The sequence below is a fragment of the Homo sapiens genome, chromosome 2 (assembly GCF_000001405.40).
Source record: "Homo sapiens chromosome 2, GRCh38.p14 Primary Assembly".
Taxonomy (NCBI): Eukaryota; Metazoa; Chordata; class Mammalia; order Primates; family Hominidae; genus Homo; species Homo sapiens.
The window spans coordinates 186635513-186657302 of NC_000002.12; the positions used below are offsets into that span (position 1 = coordinate 186635513).

General features: G+C 36.3%; 1 protein-coding gene across 4 annotated transcripts in view; it reads left to right on the top strand.

Moving 5' to 3' along the window:
- Positions 1-21790, top strand: part of ITGAV (integrin subunit alpha V) — a 90846-nt gene that overhangs the window by 45457 nt on the left and 23599 nt on the right. For all 4 annotated transcript variants that reach the window (NM_002210.5, NM_001145000.3, NM_001144999.3 and 1 more), the window contains 11 exons: positions 570-695; positions 1553-1597; positions 2765-2808; positions 2897-2953; positions 5403-5455; positions 5874-6076; positions 11174-11365; positions 14328-14373; positions 16470-16577; positions 19138-19196; positions 20735-20889. In NM_002210.5, coding sequence (NP_002201.2) covers positions 570-695; positions 1553-1597; positions 2765-2808; positions 2897-2953; positions 5403-5455; positions 5874-6076; positions 11174-11365; positions 14328-14373; positions 16470-16577; positions 19138-19196; positions 20735-20889 — 1088 coding nt within the window. The remainder of the gene's footprint in view (positions 1-569; positions 696-1552; positions 1598-2764; positions 2809-2896; positions 2954-5402; positions 5456-5873; positions 6077-11173; positions 11366-14327; positions 14374-16469; positions 16578-19137; positions 19197-20734; positions 20890-21790) is intronic.

Below are 21790 nucleotides of genomic sequence, written 5' to 3' on the forward strand. Positions count from 1 at the left end.
ATTACTGTGTCCATATTGTGGAGACAACACTTGATAAACCAGCTATCCTTTCTTGGCATGGAGGGCAGGCTGATTTTTGTGTAGTCATCTAGATTTCTTGTCTGCTTAATAACAAGGTTGTGAACAAAGGTGAACTCATCCATTCAGGTTGTTTCCTAAAGATGTTTAAATTACTAGTTAAAAAATATCAATTGAACCAATTATTCTGATTATAAAAGTAACAGTATTGTTTCAGTAAATTTTTCATGTTTTAATGGATTAGTTGGGTGATAGCCTTTGATTTTATTATTCCGTGTATTTAACATTGCTTTCTAGTGATTTAAGACAAGTCCTGTTTTCTTAAATTTTTATTAGCAGAGACTACTTTTAAGTACTGGCTTAAACAGAAATAATTTTAAGTTAAGAATATCCATTTTCAAATTGAGTATGATCAAGGAGAGTTATGTACGGCTAATAATTAGAAGTACTAATATCTAATATTGTTTTCCTTCATGCAGGTACCATACATTATCTGTATCATAAAGTTTCCATTTGAAGGTTATTTATTTTATATATACACCCTTTTTTAGGTCAGCTTATTTCGGATCAAGTGGCAGAAATCGTATCTAAATACGACCCCAATGTTTACAGCATCAAGTATAATAACCAATTAGCAACTCGGACTGCACAAGCTATTTTTGATGACAGCTATTTGGGTAGGTAAAACCAAAATTTACTCATTTTTGGAACTGTGGTACATATATCTTATATCTGAGTATGGTCTTTTAAGTAGAAAAATATTTTATGTGAAATAGATTAGGATTTTTTGAAACATACAGAATATACAATTTCAAATTGTTAATGAGTACTTTGGTTATGTTACGTTTCAGTAATTGAAATTGAAGACAGTGATTATTTGTGCAGTGATAATAATAATAGCTAGCCTTTAAGATATGCTTACTGTGTTCTGGGCATTGTTCAAGGTGACTTGGTTTGTATTCACTCATTTAATCCTCACAAGTCAAGCATACTGTATTATTCTCATTTTGTAGGTGAAAACACTGAGGCACTGAGACGCAAAATAACTTGCCCAAAGTCACTCGCTTGTAACTTGCTGTTCAGAGATTCAAATGGAGACAGTCTAACTCCTGAAGTTTTCTTCATGATGTTAAATAAAAGTTTTGGTCTTTAGGACTTATTAACATGTGTTCTCTCTTTCAATTTCTTTATGATATATTAAAACAAGTCATATATGACAGAAATAGTACTTGCTGATTGAGAGAATTTATTTGTTCTTTATGATGAGTTGTAAATTTGGTGTTTTTAACAGACTCCTTTGTAAAGTTAATAAGACAATTGTAGTTTTGTAATAAAAATAGACTATTTGAGTATTTAACTCAGTTTCATTTAAAATTCATATGTCATATATATATGAATCTGTTATGACTAGGGGACAAAATATTGCATAAGTAAAGGAGTTTCTTGAAAATATTTTCAAGGAATGCTTACTCAGCAAGCCTGCTGAAGATAACGTCCTTGTCCTGATGGTTCTCCCCTTTGGTTTCCTGTTTAGGTTATTCTGTGGCTGTCGGAGATTTCAATGGTGATGGCATAGATGGTATGAAGTACTTGAACTATATCTAATCTTTAAAAAAATTAGATTAAGTATTTGAAACATGTGGCATTGAAAATTTTAAGCAGTTTGAGTGGCTGGGTGCTGTGGCTGCAGCCTGTAATCTCAGCACTTTGGGAGGCTGAGGCGGGTGGATCCCTTGAGCCCTGGAGTTCAAGAACAGTCTGGACAACATGGCAAAACCCTGCCTCTAGAAAAAACACAAAAATTAGCCGGGCGCGGTGATGCACACCAGTGTCTAGCTTCTCAGGAGGCTGAGGTGGGAGGATCTCCAGAGCCCAGGGAGGTTGAGGCTGCTGTGAGTTGTGATTGCGCCACTGCACTCCCGCCCGGGCGACAGAGCCGAGACCCTGTCTCAAAAAAAAAAAAAAAAAAGGAAAAGAAAATAAAATTTTAAGCAATTTTAAACCATTGTTATGGAATATAACAGAAGAAATGAGGAAGATGTTAGCACACTGGTGAGAGTCCAGGCTAGGTCTGTGCTGAACTTCCTCTAGTGGCTGCTGAAATTGAGACAGCTACACTTGGCTTCAGTGCCTTTCCTTTCTGCTTCTTTTTAGCCCCCAACACTGTTAGTGATTTCCTTAGCATTTTCCTCCTTGTCTTCAGCAAATTCATTCCTCTGGGAGGAAGAATTAGTGTCTTCTTTCTTTAGGCATCCTTTGTTACCTTCTGGGCCATCTCTGTACGGTTATTACCCCATCCTCTCATTGTCCATCCATCTTCCTTCAGAGCTCCGTTTAGGAATCACAGTCTTTACCTGATTTTGATCACATTTTTGTGCCACAGCCACTTCTACCCCACTTCAGTTTGCTCTGTATTATTTTTCATTACTGTACTACTAAACTAAATGTAGTTTTTCTTCATTCTTAGGTTACTTTATCTTGTCTATTCTTGTTTAACAATATTACAAATGACTTGAGGGCTTATTTGCATATGTTTGAGAGCCCTCCAGAATTTGTATTTTGTAAATTTTGATTTTATAGTTTAAAAATGCTGGGCTATTTATTACGGAGTACCAATTTTTCTAAATTGATTGTTTGTTTTGAACTGAAGTAGTAAAACTTAAAGCTTGCTGACATAGTCACTTCTGGTCTGCAACTTCCAGTGTTGTCCTAAAAAATGAATAATTTGTTTGTTTGTTTGTTTCAGACTTTGTTTCAGGAGTTCCAAGAGCAGCAAGGACTTTGGGAATGGTAGGACAGTTAAAAGGTATTTTTTAAAAAATCTCTAAGTTATCTTCTATTTTACCAGATTTCACATACTTCTATTTTTCCTTCACAGGTTTATATTTATGATGGGAAGAACATGTCCTCCTTATACAATTTTACTGGCGAGCAGGTATGCTTCCAAAATATGATCGTCCTCTCCCACTATAAAAGCAGTATGTACTCATTGGAGAAAATTTGCGAAATAAAACTGTAAAAATGAACTATAATCTCATCAAATAGATAATTCTTCCAACTCTTACCATTTTGGTCAAACTATTATCATTTCTCTTTTGAGCGTGTGTGTGTGTGTGTGTGTGTGTGTGTGTGTGTGTGTGTAGTATATAAACAAAAATTGGTTTACTCTGTATTTTTCATTTTGTCTTGCCTTTTTCACTCAATATTTTATCATCAGAGTTTCTAATTTCTTAAAACTTTCCTTGGCAGTATCAGAATGGTTTAATGATTCCATAATATTCAATATTCTAGATATAAGATGGGCTTTAAATATTTCATCTTTGTTTTAACCAAAGTAATTTGGATATTTTGGCTTGTTTTTGTTTCCTTTTTTTTTTTTTTTTAGGAAATGCAAAATCACATGCATACAAAACCACAAAGACTTCCTTTTTCTTTACTGAAAAGAAAAAAGAGAAAAGAATTCTTTAAATTCTTTTTTAAGGATGATCAATGCCTTATAATTTTATTAGATGCAACAGAAAGCATGGCACAGATATGTGTATTATAGATATTATAAGCGAACTTCATTTTTACTACATGAAATAAGATATTTCTCAGCTAAAAAAATGCTAGTACTTTTTAAGTATTAGACATTTCTCTGCGAGTACAGGCATTTTATAATATTCTCTGTTGTATGTCTCAAAGAATTATACCATAAGTTGGTAATGATGAATAAACATTTAAACAGTAGGTAGAGAAAAATCTTTCTCAAAGTTTGCAGATCTGGGATTCAAGCCTTTTTGTTCAGTTGAGATTGTTGGGCTTTGGGATAGGATTGACAGGCTGACTGACTAGACTCATGGTCCCCAGAAACCTCCTCCCATTTGTATGGCAGTCAAGATTGATGCACAACCTGGAGGGCCCTGCAGTTGACAGGCAGTTAGGGTTGCTGCAGGGGTGGTCCCTTTGTTCCGTTTTGACTTCTCCAGCTCAAGCAGCTTCTCCTGTCTGGTGACCATGTATGAGTCTGGATCCTACTGCATGCACTCAATGATACTTGCTTTATTCCTCCTTCCACTATTGGGAAGTGGGGGTGGCTAGAGAGGAGTGGGAAGCGTGGCTTTTAGATGAGGACAAACCTGGGTTTTCCATGCTCAATCTGTTATTGCATTGGATAAGGTATTTGCTGCTGAAAATCTGTTTCTTATTTATAAAAATAGGGATGCTGACAACTTCCTCATGGGACAGTTGTGAGAATCAAAAGAAAACATTCGAATCATAGTGCCCGGGACAAAGTGTGTCTCAGTAAATGCCATCCTTTCTTTACACTTCCAAGCCAAACACCATAGGTGACTAAGGCCCATGAATATTATTCTGTTACATAGTCGGCACATCAACCTTGTACCCCAAACACAGTATATTTTATTTCACAAGCTCTGAACTTGTTATTTAATACAGAACACACCTTTCATTTTCCCAATTACACTGTATCAACCCAAAATAGATAATGCAGGAATCTCCCTTATCATTCTCCCTTGATATCTGAGCCAATCAAATTTGAGAAGCATTGCTAACTTTCCTTTTTTGGTTTGTTGACTCATTTTTCACCTTACTTTATATTTAATCTGTCATCTCTTTTAGTTTTGTTTTGCACTTTCAGCTCTCTTTAGAGCTTTCCTTTTTCACATTTATTTACAGCTAAGCTGCTCATCCTATGCAAGCCTGTGGTCTCCTGTGGTAGGGAAGAGGACATTTCTGCTCCCTGTGCATTATAAGCTCATAATAAACCCAAACACATTTGTACTGTGTGTGATTCAAAAGCAAAATCATGTGGCAAGTAATCTATAGAGATATGACACAAAAATGAGCTCCTTTCCATATCTTTCCAAACAGTAATTTTTAAACAGTAGTAGTAGTTACACATAGGGGAGCCAATTATTATCTGTTATTAATAATTATTATCTATTATCCTCATGACATAGGCATCCATATAAAACTTGTTGGGTTCAATCACAACATTTGTCTGTGACTATATATCTTTGTTAGTGTGCTTGTGTCTGGTATGTTTTGGGAAGTGGAGAGAAAGGGAGATAGTAGGGTAGGCCTGAGAAGGAGAATTGATAGTCCTTAGACTTAAATGTCATATATCAACAACACTGGAAGGATATACATGTAATATATTGTGTATATACATGTAATATATTGTGTCCATGATCTAGGAAAACAACAAGCCTCATTACCTGATTGTCATTGTGTTGGTAGAATAAACAAAAGACAAGACATTTAGATTGAAGCACTATATGCAGAGAAAAAAAATAACCCTATTTGGTACATATATTACAAATGTTAATTGTCTAAACTAATTGGATGAAATATAAACATTTCATTTTCATCTTTTTATCCAGATGGCTGCATATTTCGGATTTTCTGTAGCTGCCACTGACATTAATGGAGATGAGTAAGTTTAAAAAAAAATGTTTCCAGAAAGTTATCTTCTCATGTTTACGAATACTTTACTCAAACTAAACATTTTTTTCTTCTGTTTTTGTATTCCTTTTCTGCTAATCTTTCTGTTTAAGGAAACAATTTGAAGCAACCTTAATCATGAATTCTAGAAAACCTCATATGTTTGTTCTGTTTTTTTTCAGTAGCTTTTATAACATGAACAAATAAAGTAATTTTATGAATTATTCATAGTTTCTTAAAAGAATTAAAGGAAGTTTCAAATTTGAAATGAGTGCTCTGGTAATCATTTTGTGTTTCACTGTGGGTGTGAGAGATGCAGAAAGAGGAAAAGTGAGTTGTAGTAAGAAAGAAAATGCCTACTAAGACATGAAATTTGTTCTTGCTTTGGTGAGAAGTTTCTGTTCTTCTAGTTATGCAGATGTGTTTATTGGAGCACCTCTCTTCATGGATCGTGGCTCTGATGGCAAACTCCAAGAGGTGGGGCAGGTCTCAGTGTCTCTACAGAGAGCTTCAGGAGACTTCCAGACGACAAAGCTGAATGGATTTGAGGTCTTTGCACGGTTTGGCAGTGCCATAGCTCCTTTGGGAGATCTGGACCAGGATGGTTTCAATGGTAAGATCAAAGTTTAGCAGCTACAGGTCCCTGATTATCTGTGTCCACCTGGAAAAGTTCTGTAAGTCCATCTGTAGAAGTCTACACGAGCAAATCTCCTTCCTGGAAAGGTGGATTGTGTGTAAGTGAGTAACACACCAAATTTAAAGACAGTTTGCTATTTTTCTTTAAAAATCAGAGCAAAGATTTCAATAATGGACTCTCATGAGTTATTATTCACTTGGCCTCAAATTAGAAGGTCAGAATGATTACTTTCTGAAAGGAACCTTCATTACCCTGGTGCCTACTGCTAGCTGGTATGTGTTTCTGCATCCTGCTTAGCAGCAGTGCCCTCTTCTGTTCATTTGGCTACAAGTGTTAAAAAAAAATGCTTCCAGGCACATTGTCAAGGCAATGCTGACTAATGCATACCTCAAAGGTATGATTTGCCATTAATATTTTTAAAGCCATAACTTTGTTGTAGCTGTCCAAAATGTTCTAAGGGATGTTATATCTCCCTTTATGGTGGCATATTAAAAGTATAAGCCTATTCGTTTATAATAGTACCATTTTAATAGTTGTCGATATCTTTAAAAAGCAAAGTTAGCTTTTACTTTAGAACTCTTTTCAGAAACCTGAAATATAGGTTACAAATTACCAAGATTTTTTTTTTAATCTGTTAAAAACCTTTCTAGAGATCACAGAATGGATAGTTGAACTAGTTTGTGTAATCAACAGTATAGTAAGCCTATGCCCCCTTAAAACCTAAAGGAAAGGTATACATTAAGAAGAAAACTTTAAAAATACAGATGACTTGTTGTATGTCTCAAACAGTAGTGGAAAGGTAAATGTTGTTTGCCCTCAAGATTTCACACCTGTCTTGTGGGTAGGTGCTGTCATTTACTAGATGTGTCATCTGGAAGATTAACCGTAGTCATTTCTTTTTCTTTGTTTCTTTCTTTTTTTTCTTTTTTTTTTTTTTTTTGAGGCAGGGTCTCACTCTGTCACCCAGGCTAGAATGCAGTGGTGCAATCATGGCTCACTGCAGCCTCAACCTCCCAGGGTCAAGAGATCCTCCCACTTCAGCCTCCTGAGTAGCTGGGACTACAGGCTCCCACCACCTAGCCCAGCTTATTTTTTTTAGTAGAGCTGAGGTCTTCCCATGTTACCCAGGCTGGTCTCTAACTCCTGAGCTCAAGTGATCCTCCTGCCTTGGCTGTGCGAAGTGCTGGAATTACAGATGTGAGCCACTGTGCCTGGCCAACAGGAGAAGTTTCAGTGGTAGGGAACATCTACTCAGAGGTACATCTGCTACCTAAAATAGAGGCTTAAAGATTTTTACCACAAAGAGAACTTAGCATAAATCAAATGGAGCTATGGTATGAAGTTCATAATAAAATGTGAAAAGAACACTATATAACAGACCAAATCATTACTTAATCATAACAAAAGCTACATAGGAAATACAGGGCTAAGTTTGAGGTTCCATCATGAATAAAGTTAATGAATTCTTTGCTATGTAGCTGGGCCTCTGTCTCCCAGGTTTTCTGGGAAGCCTGGTCATGTGTGATCTTCACCTTGTCTTGATGTTATTCCAGTTACTTTAAAGAAAGTTTTCTCATTACTGTGATCTAGCCAACATCTCTTCCAGCTTTCTAAGTTTTTGTTATAATGTGTCGTCTGTCAGTAGAACAAATATAGACAACAGCTTTAAAAAATGTGAAGTTTTACAATGATTTTACAAAGGGCTAAAATATAGATAAAATCATCCATAGAGGATGATTATGGTCTCCCAAGGTTTCTCCTTGGGTCTTACTGTAGCAAATAGTAGATTGTGAATGATAATGTCTTTAGTGAAAAATTATCTGAGCTGTATTTATGTATAGTATTTAGTACATATGTGCAAATATAGTTACATTATACATGTATATGTTCTATTAGTTATGTTAGATCTTTTGTTGTTGTTCATACATGAAGACATTAAGTGTCATTGTTCCTGTATTCCTATATTCCTCTCTTTCCACCTACCCCCACCCTAGGCATCATCAAGAGGGATATTGAAAACAAAACAATAAAGTTATGTTCCAAAATTTTATATAGCCCCAAGGTAATTATGTGCAGTTTTTTATCAGTACTTTTCCAGAAAAAGCAGAGGAAAAAAAAGAAAAGCAGGAAAGAGCATCTAAAATGATCAAAGGAAGAAATCAATTGCATGAATGTGTAGGATTTTCCAGACTCGACAGATGATAGCGAAGAGAGAAGATGATTAACATGTATAAAATAATGAAACGTTTAGGAAAGTTACAGATAATTTTTATTAAACAGTCACTCAACGTTGGAGCCATCTTTTGTTGCAAAATTATGTTTTAATGAATACTTTATTTATTATTTGTTGAGACAGGGTATTGCTCTGTCACCCAGGCTGGAGTGCAGTGGTACAATCACAGCTCACTGCAGACTCGACTTCCCAGGCTCAAGCAATTCTCATACCTCACCCTCCCAAGTAGCTGGGACTACCAATGTGCACCTCTGTGCATGGCTGATTTTTGTATTTTTTGTAGAGATGGGGCTTTGCCATGTTGCCAAAACTGGTCTCAAACTCCTGGGCTTAAGTGATCTGCCTGCCTCGGCCTCCAAAGGTGATAGGATTACAAGCATGAGCTACCGTGGCCAGCCTGTTTTAATAACTACTTTATTAATGCATATGTCAGTAGAGAAGTTATGCTTATCTTTGGTTTTTTTGTTTGTTTGTTTTGTTTTGTTTTTTGTTTTTTTTTTAGACTGAGTCTCATTCTGTCGCCAGGCTGGAGTGCAGTGGCACGATATCGGCTCACTGCAACCTCCGCCTCCTGGGTTCAAGCGATTCCCCTGCCTCAGCCTCCTGAGTAGCTGGGACTACAGGCACCCACCACCATGCCTGGCTAATTTTTGTATTTTTAGTAGAGATGGAGTTTCACCATGTTGGCCAGGATGGTCTCAATCTCTTGACCTCGTGACCCACCCGCCTCGGCCTCTGAAAGTGCTGGGAATACAGGCGTGAGCCACCGTGCCCAGCCGATTTACCTTTAAGGCTTAAAAAAGGATAAAAAGAATACTTTTACATAAGTTAGGTACTCATTTTTAAGGATAACAAATTCTTAGTTGGTGTTTACTGCAGGCCAGGCACTCTTCTAGGTGGTGAAAATGAGCATAAATCAGAGTCTACTCATGTCTTTAAGAAACTCAGCATCCAATGGGGGCAGCATATATGTTTAAAAAAAAAAAAGTACCTCAATGTGATCATCACAGTGTTTGAGATCCCAGGCTTAATGGTCTCATATAAAGGATGAGTGATCAAGGCATCGTTGATGTTTCAGGGGAGCCAGGAGATGATGAGGCATGGCTTATTAAGGAGCTATGAGACAGCTCGTGTACATTAAGGAAATTGAGGCAATTTGTTATGACTGGTACGTAGGGTCTGTGATAGGCAAGATACGACATGTCCTTGGTCTCATGAAGCTTATGTTCTATAGCTTACTTACTTTGTGTAGTCATAGAATAAGTAAACAATGGGGAAATCCAGATAGTGATAAAGATGATGGATTTTTTAGAAGGCAAGGTAATATAATAGAGTTTCGGGATAGAGAGGGTGATAGAGAAAGTAGGGGGTCGAGAGGGGTGGTGCACTGCTGCGTAGGGTGGCTAGGGAATAGCTTGCTGACAGAATGACAGCTGATCTAATGACAGAACGACATTGATCTATCATTTGGACAAATAGAAGGAATAGAGTTGTAAAAGCTCTGGAGCAAAAGGCAGAGAGAATAGCAAATACAAGCCCATAGTTGGAAGCTAGCTTGGTGTGTTTAATAAACAGAAAAAAAGGCCAGGATTGCTGGAAAGAGTAAATAAGGGTAAAAAACTGGATGGCGTGGGGGTGGGGATGGGGAGAGGAATGAGATTTGCATGGTAAACAATGGAAATACCAGGTAGGGTTTAGAACTTACTCTAAATGCTTTGGGAACTAATTGAAGGATTTTAAGATGGGGATGGGTGTGACATGATATGGTGAATGTTTGGCCCTTTTGAAGAGAAAGTTACAGGCAAGAGTAGAAGTGGGAGGCCACTTAAAAGGCTGTTTAAGGCCGGGCGCGTGGTTCACGCCTGTAATCCCCCCACTTTGGGAGGCCGAGGTGTGTGGATCACGAGGTCAGGAGATCGAGACCATCCTGGCTAACACCGTGAAACCCCGTCTCTACTGAAAAAAAAACAAAAAAAATTAGCCGGGCATGGTGGCGGGCGCCTGTAGTCCTAGCTAATCGGGAGGCTAAGGCAGGAGAATGGTGTGAACCCAGGAGGTGGAGCTTGCAGTGAGCCAAGATTGTGCCACTGCACTCCAGCCTGGGGAAAAGAGCGGGACTCTGTCTCAAACAAACAAAAATTAAAAAGAAAAGAAAAAAAGGCTGTTTAAGTGCAAAATGCGGCAATGACTTGTCTAGGGTGGCAGCAGCAGAGAGAGAAGTGGGCAGATTGGTAATACATTTTAGAGGTAGAAAAGATAATTTGGTGTTTGGGGTTTTTTAAAGATTTAAAATGTTATTCATTTATCTTCTTTCAGTGTAAGTTGAGCAAGATCAAGATGAAGTCACAACTTACGAATTTCTGAGCAGATTGGCTTCTGTTCAGAAAAAACAATACCATCCATAAATAAATTATCTAGAATTTTGAGAGTGAAAATAAACTTTAGATGAATCTTTTGATGTGTCCTCCTCCATCCCCTACCCCTAGTTTTAATGAGGAAGCATTTGTGGTCCAGAAAGTTTAAGTGATTGGTTTAAGGTCAGAGCCAGATTATCTGGCCCTAAATTAATGTCTTTTCTGTACAGTTTTGCTTGAGTTTCCTTGAATTAGATTATTGCTTATGGATAAAGAGTACCCTACTGAACTTTGAATTAGTATTTATCATGATGAATGGGTTCTATAAATATTAAGATCTGTACAAATAATTACAAGTACTGAAACTTTCTTCTCTTCATCCTTGCCCTCTTCCCCCCTTCTCTCGTTCCTTCCTCATTCTTCCCTTTCTTTTCCTCCTCCTTACTTCTGTCATTCTCCTTCCCCCTCCTCTTTTTTTCCCCACAGATATTGCAATTGCTGCTCCATATGGGGGTGAAGATAAAAAAGGAATTGTTTATATCTTCAATGGAAGATCAACAGGCTTGAACGCAGTCCCATCTCAAATCCTTGAAGGGCAGTGGGCTGCTCGAAGCATGCCACCAAGCTTTGGCTATTCAATGAAAGGAGCCACAGATATAGACAAAAATGGATATCCAGGTGCTTTCTTATCAACACATAGAGCCCTTAGATTTTTCAGTCCTAATAGCAAATAGTATTAGTTACTGTTCTTGATTTATGTTATAAATTATTGCAATTCAGTATTTCATATGTTGATCAAACCTCTAAAATATTCAAGGCATCATTCCCGTCACCTAAGGGTATATGAAGAAAAGTCAGCTCTCTTTCCTGGGAGTGTACAGTGTACTCTGAGTTTCTCCTGTAGTCTTTAATGAAATGAGAAGAGTATTACAGAAGTTATAAACAAAAGTTAAATGCTCATTCTAAGCTGTTTTAATGTTAGCTATCTTTTTTATTTTTTTAATTATGTAGAATATATGTACTTGACTAATAGTTGTGATTTTTTTTTTTTTTTAAGACAAGGTATGTCTCTATTGCCCAGGCTGGAGTACAGTGGCACAATCTTGGCTCATTGCAGCCTCCACCTCCTGGGCTCAAGCCATCCTCCCACCTCAGCCTCCTTAGTAGCTGGGACTACAGGCAAGCACCACCATGCCTGGCTAATTTTTGCATGGTTTGTAAAGAGTGGTTTTTGCCATGTTGCCCAGGCTGGTCTTGAACTCATGAGCTCAAGCGATCCAACTGCCGTGGCCTCCCAAAGTGTTGGGAATACAGGCGTGAGCCACCGCACCCGGCCTTCATTGTGATTTTTTTTTCAAGTATATTATTTTATTTAATTCTCCCATTAATACATGAGTTAATATAAGCTCATTTTTATAGCTCATTATTATACCATTTCTGAATGTAAAAAGAGACTGAGAAAGGCAGTTTACCCAAGGTTGCCCACTGCATAGGTCCAGTAGAGCAAGCAAGACCTTTTTCTGGTTCTTATACACTTTGGAGCATTATAAATGGATCTAGGATCAAAACAGATCTTTTCTTTAAATGAAATACAGTGTAGAAAATTTAGATGACCTTTGTGTTGAAACACTTAATATGAGCTCAATATACAAGTGTGTTGGTCTGTTTCCAGAAATAAGACATGAAGTGGATTCTCATAAATTAGTAGTATTTTAGAGTTTTTTTGTTATAAATGCAATATATTTGTTATAGAACTTTTAGAAAATACATCAAAGCATATCTTTTCAATGTTTTTCCTGTGCAGTCACACACATTTTTTTAAAAAGGAAATCATGCTTTTATATGCTATTCATAGTGTTTTATTCAACGTTTCAGAAACATTTCTTTATTATTCTTCTAAAACATGAATTTTCTGTTTCCCTTTGTAACAAATAGCTGCATCATATCTTATTTACCTTTTTTTGTGGCATTTTTATCTTTCTTTATAATTCTTTTGCATATCTCTGATTATGTCATTAGGACAAAATTCAAGAATCACTGTGTCAAGTGTGTGCACTTCTTTTTTTAAGGTTATTAATACACATGGTCAAGTTACCATCCCACTCCCTCCACAGGAAGGTTTTTGTCAACTTTTTAAAGCACTCACCAGCAGTAAATGAGTCATTGTTTTCCCATACTTGTGCTTCTTTTAAAATAATTTTTAACTGTATAACAGGTGGACAGTGTATTTTAACTAACAGTTTGTGATTCTAGAAATAAGGCATGAGTTTGATTCTTTTTTTTGAGATGAAGTCTCGCTCTGTTACCCAGGCTGGAGTGCAGTGGCGTGATCTCAGCTCACTGCAAACTTCACCGCCCGGGTTCAAGAGAGTCTCCTGCCTCAGCCTCCTGAGTAGCTGGGATTACAGGCAGGCACCACCACGCACAGCTAATTTTTGTATTTTTAGTAGAGATGGGGTTTCACCATGTTGATCAGGCTGGTCTTGGTCAGGCTGGTCTCAGTCAGGCTGGTCTCGAACTCCTGACTTCGTGATCTGCCTGCCTCAACCTCCCAAAGTGCTGGGATTACAGGCATGAGCCACCACACCCGGCCATCAGGTTGATTCTTAACTATACATAAATAAAAATGATTATTTTTACTAATAATCTAATGTATAGTTATGAGGTTGATTCTTAACTATAGATTATTAGTAAAAATAATCATTTTCATTTGTGTGTATATATATATACATTTGTATATATATACATTTGTGTGTATATATATATACATTTGTATATATATACATTTGTGTGTATATATATACACATTTGTGTGTATATATATACACATTTGTGTGTATATATATACACACATTTACTTCTGTGAATTTCCTTTTTGTGTCTCTTTTTTCTTCTTTGCTACTGGGATTGTATTTTGCTTTTCTTTCATTCATTCATTTTTTTTAAACTTTCACAGTGCCTTAAATGTTGCAAATATTAACTTCTTAACTCTTTTATGTATTTTCTAGTTTGTCAGATTTGCATTTTGAGCATAAAGTTTTAAACTTTTATGTTATTTAATCTGTTTTTATTTTTTTTTTCATGTGATTTTCTGTTTAGAAAAGACTTCCTCAAATTTAGCTTGGGTATACTGTGAGATAGAGCTCTCATTTGACTTTTTCTGAATCGTGAACCAGTTGAACCTGTGGCATATGAAAACTAATGCATTTCATTCTTGCTGATTCGAGTGCTATCTGCTATAGTATTTTATATATATACACACACACACATTATATATAGAAAATAGAAAGGAAATTTTACAGTAAGATTGTAAAATCCACAGGCGTCTATAAAGCTTTTTCCTTTGGCAGTATGTATGTTTGGCAGGTGTATGATTATCATTGCTACTTTTTACTAAATATTCATTTAAAAGATTTATATCCACCTAGATGAAAGTCTACTTTATGATAAGCATTTTCCACTGGTGGTAGTTTGTTTACAGTTTTCATATATTTTAGCCTTTTATATGATGTCTTACAACCTCTTAATAGTTTTGAGAATTTGTTCAAACCTTTTTATATTCATTGAAAATTTTATAGAATGGTATATACATTTTAAAAACCATTATCATTATTAACATGTTTTTCCACTCTTTCTTAAGACTTAATTGTAGGAGCTTTTGGTGTAGATCGAGCTATCTTATACAGGTGAGCATTTTCTGTATCCTGCGGTATAGGAATATTCTGAATTATTTGAACGTTTTTTAATTAAGTGTCAGTGTTTGAATTTTAGTTTAATTTTCTTGAAATAATGATAAAATTTGCTCTTTCTATTCATGATTTGCTATGGGCAAATAGTATTATTTTTATTGGTACATAATAATTGTACATATTTATGGGGTACATGTGATATTTTGATATATTCATACAATGTAATTATCAAATCAGAGTAATTAGGATATTCATCATCTCAAACATTGATCATTTATTTGTGTTGGGAACATTCAGAATCCTGTCTTCCAGCCTCTCTTCTAGTTATTTTGATCTTTTGTTTTCTTTGGAGACAGAGTTTCAGTGCAGTGGGACCATCTCGGCTCCCTGAAACCTCTGCCCCCTGGGTTCAAACAATTCTCATGCCTCAGCCTCCCAAGTAGGTGGGGTTACAGGCACATGCTACCACACCGGCTAATTTTTGTATTTTTAGTAGAGACAGGGTTTTGCCATGTTGGCCAAGCTGGTCCTGAACTCCTGGCCTGAAGTGATACACCCGTCTCAGCCTCCCAAAATGCTGGGATTACTGTTATGAGCCACTGTGCCCAGCCAGCTATTTTGAAATGTACAATAAATTATTATTAACTATAGTCAATCTACGGTGTTATTGAACACTAGAACTTCTTTTTTTTTTTTGCCCAATCTGGAGTACAGTGGTGCAATCTTGGCTCATTGCAACCTTTGCTTCCCAGGTCCTAGTGATTCTCGTGCCTCAGCCTCCCGAGTAGCTGGGACTACAGGCATGTGCCACTACCACACCTGGCTAATTTTATGTATTTTTGGTAGAGACAGGGTCTTGCCATGTTATCTGGGCTGGTCTTGAGCTCCTGGGCTCAAGTGATCCACCAGCCTCAGCCTCCCAAAGTGCTGGGATTACAGGTGTGAGCCACTATGCCCGCCCCTTCTTTGTCTTTTAAATTATGTTCAGAGGTATTCTCCTGTAGTTTTAATCTCTCTAAAAATTGTCTGGGTTTACATTTTCCTATAAGAAGCAGGAAATTAACCTCATGCTTATGTCTTGGTATTCTCTGACCACAAGGTCAGTATGTAATGAAACCCCAAATGAATATTTTTATTAGAGCAATATGTATGAATTTATATATTTCTATTTCCCAATTTCTTATATATCCCCAGTTATTCTCTGTATTTCATCAATTCCTCATGACGTAGAATATCAGTTGGCATCCCAAGTAGTTAAGATGTTTATATATCTATGATCTGAGTTTATACATGGCAGGAACACTAACATTAGTGCTATGTAGCGGAGTTTGCGATGGGTCAATTTAATTGTAGCTATACAATACTTAACAGATTTCAGATCTTTATCATTTTGAGACAGGCACATTGACTTGAGCCAGCTGTATTTTTGTATAGGATTTAAACCTGTGTATCTGAACTCAGGAAAACTGTATTTATTTTAATTTATTGTTTTTAGTTTTTAAAATTGCTGTTAATTGTATAATGTACGTGGTAAAAATGCAAACACTATAAGAAGGGTATATAAAAAAAAGTTTTCCCTCACACCAGCTAATAATTTATTTGTTTCTTCTATTAGAAATATTCTATGCATTAAAAAATCATATTATGTATGTATGTATGTATATCAGTAGACATTCTTTGTACTTTTTGGGTTTTTTTTTCTCTCCCACTAAAACTATATGTTGGTTATGTCTTAGAGGTCATCCCACTCATTTTCTCCACGGTAGTGCAGCGAATTCGGTAGATATCTCACAACTTATTTAGCCATTCTGCTTTAGTGACTGAATTCATATAGGCCAGCCATTGTCCCACTTTGTCTGGAACTGAGCGATTTCCCAGGATGCAGGAGTTTCTGTGCTAAAATTAGGACAGTTCTGGGCAACTAAGACAGTTGATCACCTACGGTTATGTTGTTCCTGTTCCTTTTACTATTACAAACAATGCTTTTAGTAGACATGGTACTATATATGTAGTGAATATGAACCAAAAATATTTCAATCAACCTAACTTTTTAAATAATTTTTTACTTCATCTTCTTTTCCCTCCCCCGCTAGGGCCAGACCAGTTATCACTGTAAATGCTGGTCTTGAAGTGTACCCTAGCATTTTAAATCAAGACAATAAAACCTGCTCACTGCCTGGAACAGCTCTCAAAGTTTCCTGGTAAGGGTATTTGTTTAATAATAGTTATTATTGTGATTATTGTTCAGGCATTGTAAGAACAATTGAAAATGAAGGTGGTAGGGCTGAAATATTGCTAAAACAGTTTCTGTGAGTATACTGTTTTTTCTATTCTTTTTTTATTTGAAGCAAGGTCTGCCTCTGTTGCCCAGGCTGGTGTGCAGTGGCACAACCATGGCTTAAGTGATCCTTCCACCTTGGCCTTTATAGTAGCTGGGACTACAGGTGTGTGGCACCATACCCAGCTAATTTTTTAAATTTTTTTAGAGATGGGGTCTCCCTATATTGCTCAGGTTGGTCTCGAAGACCGCTGTGCTCAAGCAGTCATCCTGCCTCAGCCTCCTAAAGTGCTAGGATTTACAGGCATGAGCCATTGCACCTGGCCTTATACTCTATTTTCATGTTATAAATTGGATTATAGAAATAGTGCTCCAAAAAGGATATCTAAAGGCTGTAAAGATACTCTATAAATTAGTATGAAATTAATTTTTAAAGAATTATGCGTGGTCAATGAATATTTTCAAAAAGAAAGAAAAGCTAATAAGATCTCAGTTCATTTATATGTAATTCCAAACAGGCCCATGAACACTTACATTTTTAAAAGATATCTTGTTTTTCTGATTTAATATCTATGAACAGTTGTATGAAAAAAATTATTTTGCTCTAATATATTAATTTTCTGCTTATTCCTTTACTAGTTTCCAAAGAAAAATATAATAATTTTTCATAAGTTAAATGTCTGAATTCTTCTCTACTCCATTCTTTCTCTCATCTTTGTCATTTGTATGCTACTTCAGTAATTTTTGCTCTATTTTCATTATAGATTTTTTTTTTTTTTTTTTTTTTTTTGAGACGGAGTCTCGCTCTGTCGCCCAGGCCGGACTGCAGACTGCAGTGGCGCAATCTCGGCTCACTGCAAGCTCCGCTTCCCGGGTTCACGCCATTCTCCTGCCTCAGCCTCCCGAGTAGCTGGGACTACAGGCGCCCACCAACACGCCCGGCTAATTTTTTGTATTTTTAGTAGAGACGGGGTTTCACCTTGTTAGCCAGGATGGTCTCGATCTCCTGACCTCATGATCCACCCGCCTCGGCCTCCCAAAGTGCTCATTATAGATATTTTTTTAAGTTGTCTCGTGCTTTACTTCACAGTATTTAAAAGCAAAATGTAGAAACCAGTATCTTTCTCATACATATCAATATAAATATAAAACTAATGAAAAATCTTGACCCATATACTACCAAAATCACCATGAGTAGTCATTCATGAGTTCCCACTTTGGGAAACACTATTCATGTTCCTTACTTACACAGACGAGTTGCAGAGAACTTATGATCAAGGAGAAAATGATTGGTGCCTAAAAAAGTTTTACTTCAAAAGAGCCAATTAAAGATATTGTTCCTGAATTTGTTTTTGAATATTTTTGAATTATTGTTATAGTTATTAAAATTTTGAAACTTTCATTTCTTTAATTGGATTACATTTAAAAATTCAGTAATATTTGGTCTTCATTTTTATTGAACTGGCAATGAAGTTGTTTTCAAGATTTTGCTGTAAGTTTTACTGCTTTTCTACCCTGCATACCTCTGTGAAGTTGCCAATAATCTGCTTCTAATTATGTTAGTAATTCAAAGGCTTCAAATGCACTAACTAGAGCAGTAACATCATATGATTTTTGAGTATGGCACATAGAAATACATTTTGCATTATAAACACATAAAAGTAATTAAATCAAGCATTTCAGAAAATCGTACTTACCTTTGATACCTAAATCAGTTTTATTTATTTATTAAAAAATTTTTCTTAAGATGCTGAACACAACCCATTAAACTGGTTTCACAACCTGCTAATAAATTGTGAAGAACACTGCTGTAAAGGAGGTTGCTAATTAAAGAAAGTTTTGGTGGGTCCTTTTATCAATGAGACAGTTTTTAAAATCTGAACCGTTGGCTAGGCACAGTGGCTCACTGTAATCCCAGCACTTTGGGAGACCAAGGCGGGCGAATCACCAGAGGTCAGGAGTTTGAGACCAGCCTGGCCAACGTGGTGAAACACTGTCTCTACTAAAAATACAAAAATTAGCCGGGTGTGGTGGTGCATGCCTGTAATCCCAGCTACTTGGGAGGCTGAGGCAGGAGAATTGCTTGAATCCAGGAGGCAGAGGTTGCAGTGAGCCGAGATCGTGCCACTGTACTCCAGCCTGGGCAACAGAGTGAGACTCTGTCTCAAAAAAAAAAAAAAAAATCTGAACTGTCATACCCCTCATTTAGATTTATCAATAGGTTCTATAAGCTTGAGAGAAAGTTAGGACATTATTTTTCTTTTTTTCATCAAGGTACCATGAAAGGAAATGTGCTTAAATTACTGAAGGATGAGTTAGGTTAGTGTATATAGTTTCATGTTTTTAGAATAATATTAAGACATGAAGAAAGATGTAAGGCTTCACAATACAAACTATGTAGTAGAAAGATGAGATGTGGGTGATAATAAAAATATGTCTAAACTGAATTATAGAATTTATGTATGTTTTTTATTTTTCCACAGTTTTAATGTTAGGTTCTGCTTAAAGGCAGATGGCAAAGGAGTACTTCCCAGGAAACTTAGTAAGTGTTCTATGAAAAATCATATTATTTTAATGATACTGCATACACAGCACTTAAAAAATATTTTAAGATATTCAAATAGTTACTTGAATTGTTATTATAATTTTTTATTTGAATGTTTATGCTTAAAGACATTTAAGATTTCAACATAATTATATTCTTTGGTAACCCTTAAGCTAATTCAAAAATAATACACTTATTTATGGACATTATGAGCTAAATAGCCCACAGAATGGTAAATATGACCTTTAGAAGTTTAAGCAGTTACGAATGTGACATAATGAACTCTGGGGAAATATGAATATTATGGTTTATAAGTAGATGATCTGCTGAGAAGTCTGTATTTTATGTCTTTGAGCAGCCCCAAGCAATCTCAGGAGTAGAGGTGGTTTAGAAATAGTGAGAAGGAGGAGAAAAAGTTTTGGTCATGCAATTTAATTCACACAGCAAACTCTACTCTTCTTTTCCTAAAATGGTTGATGTGGTCCTGAGAGCAAGATAGGCAAGATAGGAGTGTTAAATAATTATTGCCAGGGTTTGTCAGTATGTTAATGGCAAGTGGTAAGGAATAATAGTAAAGCAGAGAAGAAACTGAAACTGTTGGGTGTGTGTTTGTGTGTGAAAGTTTACATAGGGCAGCCAAGTAAGGTCTCCCTAGGAGAAAACTTTTCAGTAGAGACCTGAAGGAAATAAGGGAGCTATGGGATGTGTGGAGGAGTGTTTGCCACAGAGGAACTGGCAGTTTCAGCAGGCCTGAAGCGGAAAATGTGCTCAGTGGTTGAGAAACGGCATGGAGGTCAATATGGCCTAGTAGAACAGAACATGAAGCAAAATAACCCCGGGTATTCACCCAAATTTGAAATAAAGGTCACCTTTTAGAGAAACTTGCGACGCGAATTCTGGTTTTAAAGATTTGCACTCTCTTAAACTATTTAAAGAACTGAATCTTACAAGGCAGTAATCCTAATTGCTACATCCTTTTACAATGATTCTTGATGCATTTAACTCTGTTTGATCACTTGCTTCCTGAAGGCATATTCATCTGACAGTTTGATATGATAGCTTCACTGGAAGCAGGAGTTTCAAGTGGGGCAAACTGTTCATTCATCATAGTGTTTAATATGATGGTATGAGTACATATGAGCAAATACTTCTTAATCAAAATCAGCAAGACTCTTGCTACTTGAATTTATGATGGAAGTCTTAATTCACATGTTTCATCCTCTGGATTTCCTCCTCTCAGCTTAAATTAAAAGATAGCATTTCTCCTGTCTGATAATTGGCTTACTACTATCATTTTTTTGGGAATTATTTATGACATTACTTTAGGGAAAGTTTGATTAATTATTTAATTATTATTAAATATTTTTTCAGAATTAATATGTTGTAGTCTCATTACAATGTAATGACATTTTAAATTAATTAGAAGCAATTTACTTCTTAAGGAATAAAGATCTCTGTTTACATGAAAACTCTAGAGTAGGATAGATAGATGTCCATAAAGAATATGTTGGTTATAAATCCTTTGGTTTACATAGATTTCCAGGTGGAACTTCTTTTGGATAAACTCAAGCAAAAGGGAGCAATTCGACGAGCACTGTTTCTCTACAGCAGGTCCCCAAGTCACTCCAAGAACATGACTATTTCAAGGGGGGGACTGATGCAGTGTGAGGAATTGATAGCGTATCTGCGGGTAAGAGCTAACTTTTCTGCTACCTTGTTGTTCCTTTTTAGTCATTAGTTTTTTATCTAAATGATTTTCACTTTCTGTAAATTAGTGTTAGATCAAAAGGAAAAACAGAAAAATACACAAAGGAAATTTAGCTTTGTAAAGTGTCATACCTGAATGATGGACTTCTACTTCTGGCAGATTGGATATTCCAAATGGCCTTTCCACAACAATACTACTGAACAAATTATGATAAACATATTTCTTAAATGCAACTGAACTTTCAAGACAGTAAAAGAAATCACCAGAGTCCAAAAAAAAAATGAGCAATCAACTAAAAAACTCCAGTGGCAAAAATCTGAATTGTGAGTTATAAGCAAATATATGAGCGAGAGTTGCTGGCAAAGGATGAAGCCTAAGGAGAGGGCAGGTGGTAATTGCAGACACCAGCACAGGAATTCCGACAGTTGTATAAGGCTAAGTGTTCTTACGACAGAGGTGCATTCTGATTCCAGCAAGAGCCAAATGTAAAACCTTGCTGAAGGGGAGCAATCCAGTATGGGCCCCAGGATTTCCATAGGTTAAGTTTGATCAAATATGAATTCATTAAACACACACACACACACACACACACACACACACACACAGAAGCCACTAGAAGAAGCATCAGATTTTAGACCCACAAAGACCAGCTACAGAGCACAAATTTGTATAAAATGTTTAAAGAAATAAAGGGCCTGGGCACAGTGGCTCAAGCTTATAATCTTGGCACTTTGGGAGGCCAAAGCAGGAGGATCACTTGAGGCCAAGAGTTTGAGACCAGCCTGGGTGAGACTCTATTTTATTTAAAGGAAAAAACAAAACAAGACAAAAACATCAGTAAATATTTAGACAACAACATAATTAATGAACTTGATTTAACAGA